This window comes from Homo sapiens, chromosome 3, assembly GCF_000001405.40.
Source record: "Homo sapiens chromosome 3, GRCh38.p14 Primary Assembly".
In the NCBI taxonomy this organism is placed as follows: domain Eukaryota; kingdom Metazoa; phylum Chordata; class Mammalia; order Primates; family Hominidae; genus Homo; species Homo sapiens.
Genome location: NC_000003.12, coordinates 146,774,360 through 146,784,320, shown reverse-complemented (window position 1 = coordinate 146,784,320; position 9,961 = coordinate 146,774,360). Strand labels below are relative to the sequence as shown.

Below are 9,961 nucleotides of genomic sequence, written 5' to 3'. Positions count from 1 at the left end.
CTGAAACTTTGGTCAAACTAATTTCTAAGCTTATTTCTAAGGTTTTCTCTGTTGCAAAAATTATTGACTCTTTAGTCACACTCTATCCTGGAAAATCTAACCTAGTGGACCATTTGGTTATGAGATGGTTAAAAAAAAAAAAATCTTCAATGCAGACGGCCAGAACTATAGGGTTTCAAGGAAAAGTACTCTGTATAACAATATCAAAGTTTGTCTGAATTATGACCATTTCCACATTGGATTTATCTCTGCAGGTTAATATTCTTTCTTAGGGCCATTTGTATAAATTTTGCAACATTTAATGGGAGCTCATACATGGAGATCTTATACAAGGTAAATAATGAGATAGGTGTTTGAGATGGTTTAGCCTGGATGAAGAGGGGGCACTATTTCTTCTCTCTGAGTCTAATTTCTGATAAGACAAATTACAAAATGATTACGAATAAGAGTTAAAAAAAAACTTAATATTTTGTGTCCAAATTGTTGTTTTCTATCCTATAAACCCTTTTATGCTATATCTAAGACTTAAAATGTTTTAAACATTCGATTTTGGTCTTTAGTGCACCATGCATGGGGAACCCATGCAGTTGTGCCCTGTAAGAACTTATCTAAAGAAAGAAATCAATAACATGCATCTGAGAAGGCAGTGTTCCAGTGCCAGGATTTTAGCTGAGACATGTATAAGCCTCTCAGGAATTCTCAGAAGTATTTGGGAAAATGAAACTGGTTTACCAATGCTCTTTAAAAAGTTAAGCAAAAGAACATCCTAGAGTATGGTTTCCTGAGCAGAACAGTGAGAAAGGCGCATATGAATTTGAGACAGGAAAAATACATTGTGATTGCAGAATAGAAAATCCCAGGCAGCAGTTTCACATGACTAGCAAAAAAACCTTTGTCCAAAGAGCTGCATAAAGTAGATGCTGACAAGACTCCGAAAAACCAGGGTGAGGGCCAAGCTGGGTAAGAACAACTGTACCCAACATGGTGCTGGATTTGAGCTAGGTTTCACCTAGGACCTCATTATATGCTCGTTCACATACTAAATTACACATCCACCAACACCATGAAAGTTCCAGGAACATTCATATCTGGTGTAAAAATGGATGGCACCACAGTTCTGAGAAATCTCTACCATTTCCCAAAAATCATGAATATTCCACACCTTGGTTAAAGAAATCCATAAAGGGAGCAGCCCCAAACTCCCTTGTGCAACTCTCGGGGGTAGGCATACACTCCCCTTTCTTGAGTGTGTATTTCATTTTGCAATAAATCTCTGTACTTTCACTATTTTCTGACTCATCCTTCACACTATGGTGCAAGAGCCTGGATACTGGCTGGGGTTGAAGTCCCACCATGTTTGGGGATTTCCCCTAGCCCACCTGTATCAAATTCAGCCTGAGGTTTTTTTTGGCGTAAATCCTCCAATATTCCAAATCAAAGTTACATTATAAAGCATGTCAGAAATGGGTTAACTAAAACTGAATGGGTTAACTAATTTAATGGGTTAACCATTCAATTTCCAGTTATTTTCCATCATTAATGAAAAGGAAGAACTCATGATATCTAACCTAAAACTGTAAGGCTATTTTAATTTTTATAAAATGTTCTTAGTTTGGGGAAAACAAATGTTAACGGTGTTTTCTTTTGCAGGGGGGTTAAGACCCTTCTTAGAATTTTTACTTTGCCTCGTGTCATGGTCATCATGTTAATGATAAACACTGGACAAAACTAACAAGAGAAGGTTGCACTAGGAATTCTCTGCTTCAAAACAAAAGTTGTTTTGAACTAGGACCTTGAAAATGGTATCTTCAAACATAAGGAGCTGAACAATACCATTAAAAAATAACAAGACCTTTGCAAAGTTAATATTATCAAAGTACACTACATTTTCACTGAAATCTAAAAAGAGTAGTAGAAACTTCTCACTTCAGTAATATTCGAGGAATCTTAATTATATTTTTTATACTTGTCAAGATGTGTCTTGGGCACCAATTGCAGCTTTTAAAGTCCTTTTTTTAACCTTCTTGTTTTTCTTTACATACAAGTTGGATCAAACAAAGCCCCAGATAACTTCAATTACCTGTCTGACACTGTGCCGTTTCCCTTGTGCAAAAACACAAAAGCTAAATGGCTCCGTAGGTTAACAAATTAATAATAATAACAGTACATGGATAGATGACTATATAATATTTTTATTCTCCATTTGTACAATCTTTTTCTTCAATATTTATGTTTTACCTTGAATATTGACATTACCCTCTTGTAAGTTATATTTTTTAAACTAGGATACCCATGATAATATTTCCCCTTCTGTTCATAAAAAATTTTAAGGCTTTCTCTGTTTTTTAAAAGCTCAATATATAATTATCTTAGTAAATAGAAATTATATTCATCCAAGCATACATTTGCTGCCCATTTTATCTTATTTTTTTAGCTTGCAGCACATTCACTTTATGGGCAAGTACCCTTGGCACTCTCAGTTTATTCTCTTGAATAAACAGGCTTTCAGTGACTTCATAGTTCTTTTGGAAAGAGATCTCAGAACTAAGTTCCTTCATTCTATTTTTAAATAAGTCATGAGCAATCCAATTATATGACTAAAGATGACCCAAAAGTAACTGGAATTGTTCATAATTTATTTTTTTTGGAGATAAGAGTCTTAAAAAATCTTAACTAAAACTTCTCTCGATTATGCTATCGTTAATAAAGATTATTATTGTTTCTTAGAGTTGAGAAGGGTTTCTAATTACACAGAAATAATGAAAATATAAAGATTGAAAAAGATGATAATGGAAGAAACCTTAACGGCTGGATTAGCGAAATACACACAGTAACTTTTCATTCAAATTACATACATTTTTAAAAAGGAACAACTTCTAATGTCCTTTTTTTGGAGCTTTCTCTACAATTATGCTAACAAGTTTCATGCTGAGAAAGGATTAGTCCTGATGGACAATCAAAGACAATGCTTCCTTCCTGGTGAAAAGGTGAGAAAGGATGTAGGTAACTGAGCTGCAGTTATTAGGCATAGCGGCAGGAGGTCCATATGACCAGTTAGAGAGCGAGATCCGAGTTTGCCAAAGCAGAGAAACTGCCTAGTCACTATTGCTGATTACTCAGTGCCATCATATATGTAACACCTCTGACTTGGAGGATGAAAACCATGTTGTACACATCTCCCTGTCTGTTCAATTTAGTGTTCATCCTTCAGCTTGGCAGCCATGACACCTGGCCAGGTAAAAACTCCTAGGAGGATGAAGCATTTGGCATAGCAGCAGGACATGGGCATCTGCAAAATCTGAAGGAACAGAACACATCCCTAAGGGGAAGAATCAGAAATAACCTACTGTTCTGCATTCAAAAGAGCGAGAGAGAGGGAGTGAGGGATAACAAGATTTTAAAGACAAAATTAAACTGTGTTTTATTGCATCCTCCTTAATGGTTCTTCTAGTAGCCAATATAGCAAAATGATGGAAAAGAGAAAACAAAATATCCTGTTAACTTTTAATGATATTACCATTAATGATTGTGATATATTTCCACATATTTTTATATTTCAGTTAGTGTTTTATTCAATGTTACCATCTGAAAATATTTTTCTTAATATCAAAGTCTGAAGCCTAAAATCAGGTAAGATATATTTTCTCTTTACTGCTAATTGCTGACATTATGTGTCAAAATTCAGTTCCACCATTTTTGAAATATTAAAGTAGCATAATAGGTGTGCAGTTAGCTTACCCCACATACATTGTATAAACTACTGATATTAAAATGAGAAAACTACAGGTCTCCAAATGGACTAATCATATAATACTAAGTAAACATCCCTGTGTCTTAAGAATATGGGGTTAGGTTACATTCCAAAAGGAGAACGTGGAATAAAAACATGGTGTCTTAGAAATGGGTGTCTAATACAATCATTTTTAATGTACCTCCCAGAGATTGCTTAAAGGCAAAGGTGACCACAAGGCCAGTGGTAGATGGTTACAAGCCGTCTTCCCCAACATCTGTGTAAATAGATTCAAAGAACCAAAGGCTGCAGTTTCAAAAATTAAACTACAAAAGGCTATATCTATAACTGTACACAAAATTGCTTTGCCTACCCCTTCTTCTTACCCCCTACTACTTGTGGTGCTATTAAAGAAAAAGAATATCTGAAGACCACCAAGAAGAAAAAGGGCAGAAGGAGGACATGGGAATAATTATTTTCAAGGGTGCCTTGAAACTGTAGTTAGTCCTTCTTTCTGTACTCTATAGAAGTAGTATCTCTGCATATAAATCAGGTTGATGTGTTCAGATCACATTTGTTCATAAAAATGTGCAATTTCCATTGATATGAATTCTACATTTCTTTCTATTTTCCTATTGTTTTAATTTGCAATTAGATAGTTAAATATGATGCATGGGAATGGTATGCTATATTGCTGTTATTTGTGAGCATTAACACAAAAATTGTGGGTACCCCCAATCTCAGCAAAAGATACAAATAACATTTTTAGTTGTGTATCTTTAACCTATTACTCTAAAATGTGCCTTGTACAATCAAACCTAAATTTAGGAACCTAAGCTTTCCTAAATTCCTTAAGGAAAAAGGATACAGATTTTGATCAAAACAGAAAAACTGCAAGTCGGTGTGTCATAGGAGAGAGGGGTGGGAAGATGATGGTGATGATAGTGTATTTCAGCCTTGAAAATGTAGTCAGCCTTTACTGAAATCTGTGTGTCAGATACACAACATACAATTAAACCCCTACAAGATAAAGATGAAAAATTAAGACAGAGTTCTGAGGGCATGTGGCCCAGTGTGAAAATCATATTTATCTTACTCAAAAATCATTTTTTGTTGAGGCATAGTGGCTCCTTTAATCCCAGCACTTTGGGAGGCCAAGGCGGTTGGATCATGAGGTCAGGAGTTCAAGACCAGCCTGGCCAAGATGGTGAAACCCCGTCTCTACTAAAAATACAAAAAAACAGCCAGGTGCCATGGCAGCCGCCTGTAATCCCAGGTACTCAGGAGGCTGAGGCAGGACAATCACTTAAACTTGGAGGGTGGAGGTTGTAGTGGGCCGAGATCGCGCCACTGCACTCCAGCCTGGGCGACAGAGTGAGACTCTGTCTCAAAAAAAAAAAAAAAAAAAATCATTTTTTTCCCCTACAAACCTACTGTATTTCTTCTGAAATTATTGATTCACAGGTAAGAAATTTGCTGACATCTGAAACATTTTAAGTCAATAAAAAGTTTAAAATATAACTCCTCTAAGTAACCAGCAGGCTATGCTCTTTCTGATTAGGAAAGCTATGAAATTCACTGTGCCTTCTTTTGCTTACTAACTACTCAGAGCTCAATCTATTCTCTACCAGTATATTACCACAGTGAATGGCACATTTATTTGTCCATTTCATGGTCTTTAATTTCTTTCTCTGAAGGTTTTTTTATATATCAGCATTTTTTGAAGCAGCTAAGACAGTTTTTATAATCCGATAGGAAATAAGAAAAAATATGCTGCATAATCTCTTACATCTCTGTGATCTGAGACTATATTTTCACATTCCCATTTTATTTTTCATTACTTTTTTTTCTTTTGTTCATTTAATGAAATTGTAAATAGATCCTTTTTCAAAATGGTCAGCTTTTGTTTTTCAAATTTAAGATGATGTCTGTAGACCTACATGTAAAACATCAGTCCCTGGAACTGACAGGCAACCCCGCATGATCCTACTTTTCTCCGACTTCTCTACCTTTGTGCTTTAAATAGGAGCAAACACAACCGCTTTTTTTTTTTAACTGCCCTTCATTTGCCATTGCTTGAGATGGCCCTGTAAAGAACCTAATGCCCCTCCCTGCCTATTAGAGACTGAAGTGAACATAGCTGATGGTTTGGGAGTATGGCCTTTTAAAATGGCAGCTCAACAGTGACATAAAAACTAGAAAACTCTTCTATATCAGAAAAATTTCATGAAAATTGTCAATATGAGTGACAAACCTACCACATATTTTTTCTACCCTCTCCTCTGAGACCTACATTAAATTCATAAATGATAGTAAATAGAAAAAAAAAGAGGAAAAAAGTATACACTGCTAATGACAAAAAACCTTTAATGTCATGAGAGATAGAGAAAGTCACCTGCATGGCAGCAGAGCAGCTAAAGCCACAGTCAGCAGAATGTCTGAAGGGAATTCAGCCAAGAAGTACTCTGCAGAATCCCCAAGAGCCTCTAGACTAGAAAACAGAAGCTTTGCCTGAGGACAGAAATAAGGTATAGGTCTGTATGACACATGCATTGAACTACTGAGCCCTCTGTCTTCTCCCCTACTCTGATATAAGAACTTCTGCAATTGGGTAAGTGTCCTCCCCACCTTCTGTTAAGGCACATAGAATGGTTCTATTCTATTACCAGGTTTTCACTTGCGTCCAAGAAGAGCGAGACATTTGAAGAAAGTTTCCAACATGCCAGTGTGAAACTACAGTCAATAAACAGAAAATTTCTGTCCTCATGGAGCATATATTTTAGAAGAATCAGAAGTAACTGCCTAATGTTTTCAAATCATTGATGTAAAAACTGAACTTGGACAATGGAAGAGTGATGCAGGAGACAGCTGCATTCAACTTTAATTATTCTGTAGAATTTCATTTTAACGTTATGTACATGTATTACTCAGGAAAAATAAATATGTATGTAAATATGTTTGTGTACATTATCTCACATGATAATCTATAAATTTGCCTAGTTATGGGCTCAACTCTGTCTCATGGCTGTTTTACCACTACTCTGGGAAGTTATATCACTTTAGTTCCAAAAGTTGGTGTACCACAAAGTTAAAACACAAGGGTTCAAAAATCAATAAAATAAACAAATAAACAAAAAACTGTTTTGTTTTGTTTCTGTTTTATTGATTATGATATATTGCCTCTAGTTTTAGTGACAAACATTTTGCTACTGTTTCTTTGGTTTTGGTAAACCCAAAACTAGAGAAATTAATCTGTGTTGGATGAATGGTGAAAGTAATCTTATATTACTATTGCCATCATTTAATGCCTGAAGATATTTAATAGGCTTATTTTAAATCTGCATTCTACCTGTTCTGTAACTCAGTGGCAGGTAAGGTACATTGTTCAGTTTGAGGTCCTCTTTTGAGGAGGTTTTCTTACTTAGGTGTTTAGTTATTTTCGACTGTGATCTCATTTTTTCTTGGGATGTCAGCCACTCTCCTTACAGTATGGGATAAATGTCCAGGGGCAGGTCTCAGTGTTGATTGTATCTGTTTGAAGCTATTCTACCAGGCAATAGCTATGAGCAGGGCTGTACATTTAACTCATTATTGTGAAACAACATTAGTATCAGTCCTTACACCTAGGTAAAAATCTACACCCTAAAGGATTTGGAGGAATGATTATAGAAGTTGATCAGTTAATGTCTCTTTGAATAAATTGTTTACCCACTTAAGGCCCTGAAAGTAACTCAAGGACTCTAGCACTGGCATGCATATGGGTAGAGTTTAAAAGGATTTCCTCTGGCCTGTCTTCTGGTTGATTTCTCCTGCAATTCTGCTCCTCAGGTTACAGTGATATATCCAGATAAAAACATCCTTTATTCTTTCTAGGGGTTTTACAAAGGGATTATTTTGTGGTGGTGGTTGTTAGCTCCTGGAATCCTTACTTATGTTTCATATTTGTAGTTTCACTAGAGTTGATTTTGGAGAACAAACTGCCAGCCTTGGCTAATTCTTTATCTTGTTACTGACCAGAAATCACGTTTGTGTAAACATGAAGTTCCATAATTTGTCCTGGTTCCTTTTTGTAAGACTATGATCATGCAGAACATAATGATTAGGCAAAGAGTAAATGGTGAATTTTAGAAATTTAGCATTGACCAATAATTGACATGCTTTGTGGGAAGGCTTCTCAGGGGAAAATGGGGAACTGGTCACAACACTGGAAACCTCAGAGAATGTGTGACTATTCCAACACATGATGGAAGTCACATATATCACTGATTTTATTTCTGATCAGAATATCTTCTCCTTTAATGTTGTTATCACTTCAGAAAAATTAAATTAAGGAGAACAACCATGGAACAACCCCTCCCTACTGTGTTATAATGTGAATTCAGAACTTTGAAATGATGATTATTAAGCTTCCTGAATAATAACTTAATTTTAAACCAAGAGTAAACCTAAAGTTAATGTAAGAAGTTAGTATTATTAATCTAACAAAATTGCCAATTCAATCTCAGTCTTCTACCTTCTGGAGAAATCTCATGTTTTATCTTATTACAAAAGTAAATCAGGTGATTTATGCAATGTGTGTAACTTTTCAAATAAATTAACTCTACAAAAATATGTCTCTTTCCCCTGCATGTAGGTGACAAATGTTCTGAGCATTGTAAGTAGACGGAATAAACATTTACTTTCACAGATGTGGGAATGTATATTTGCTTCATTTAATTCTGAGAGTATGATAAAAATATGACAATATTAAGATATTGGATAAATGTTGAAAGCCTAACATTGAATCCAACAAAGGTGCTCAGTGTTTGGAAAAACTGTGCTTAATATAGCCCTATCATGTTAATATATCCTATTAAAATGGAAGTTATCTGCAAACTTTTTGTCTTAAGAGTTTTAGATGGAACTATTGACCAATATATTTTATTTTCAGAAATTAGGTTTTGAGTTAGTAACATGAGGAACTTTCATTGGAATTTAACTTTAATAGTTAAATTTTTAAGTTACCTTGACCATCCAAGGCAAGTTTTAAAATCTTGTTTAAATAAATATTTGGGCATTATAGGAGAACGAAGCCATTAATACAGTGGGAGCAAGTTTATGTTAACAATTTTTTAAATGGAACTATATGGGAAAGGTAATAAAAACTAATACATATAAAAGAGGATTCATTGATCTTGAGCTTTGGAAAGTTCATGGAAAATTCAAGATTTCCAAGAGCCAGTTTCTCATCATTAAATGAAGCAGTAAGAGAATTACTGCGGGACAGTTCTCTGAGAACTTGGACAAACCCAGTTCTCCTCACTTTCTCACTTGTAGTTCTAAAGAGTAATTATACTACATGGTAGGAATGCAACATCCTGAGATAAAGGGGAAGCTGGCTTGAAAAGCTAGGCTCTCTTCCAGGCCCCCCAGAACAGAATGCCCTTCAATGCTTTGCCCAGGTGAGTTATGGAATATCGAGGTATGTAACCTGGAGCAGGCTGCCTTTTGCCCCATTTGTACCCTCAGCTGTGGAACAAGTTGGGCACATGCAGCGAAGGCTCCATCCACCCCCCAGAGTTGCCTGAGCATTGGGTGACCAGCTCACACTGAATCCTAGACTTCTGTTGTCCCTTGCCGCCTATCAAGTAATCAATCCACTTCATGTAATTTGCTGTGTATGAATGTGTTCAGTCTCATGCAACTCAAGACATGTTGGTAACCAGAGCACAGCAAACTGCTTCACACTTAGTTCAAGGAAGTGTTGTGAAGATTAAATGAAATAATGCACACAAAATTCTTACAACATTGTCTGGCACTTTAAATTATTAAATAGTAGCTATTATTGTCTGCATAATGTATTATTGTAGTTGCTGATTCTGACTTACATTTTAATATGATTTACTTAATTGAAGCACACTTTGTTAAAGAATAACCATGTTAAAGGATCTGGAGACTAATCATGGTAGACACAGTTCAAAGAGGTAGCTAATGGCAAACAAAAAATCACATAAATACCAAATATTAGAACTTCATTCGCCTCAGAGAATATATAACCCAACCTTTCCATTTACTATTAAAAATGTAAAGAAATAGACTCAGTGTGTCTTTAAGTCACATGTCATATAGATTAAAATTTATTCAGATACAGAATTAATTCCATCAGGAGGAAGTTCAAAGAGGAGGTTTCTAAATAGAGATGTCCAAAATGGAAAACCTGCTGATATAGATGCCAATGTACTTCCCAGCTCT

The 9,961-nt window shown here is 35.5% G+C and overlaps 1 annotated feature.

Annotated features, from left to right (window-relative positions):
• Positions 2,414 to 3,409: an enhancer, noted in NCBI's record as "OCT4-NANOG hESC enhancer chr3:146498699-146499694 (GRCh37/hg19 assembly coordinates)". NCBI's record gives its function as "activates a minimal SCP1, AML or CMV promoter by ChIP-STARR-seq in naive H9 embryonic stem cells {active_cell/tissue: H9 hESC(naive)}" and the evidence as "EXISTENCE:reporter gene assay evidence [ECO:0000049][PMID:30033119]".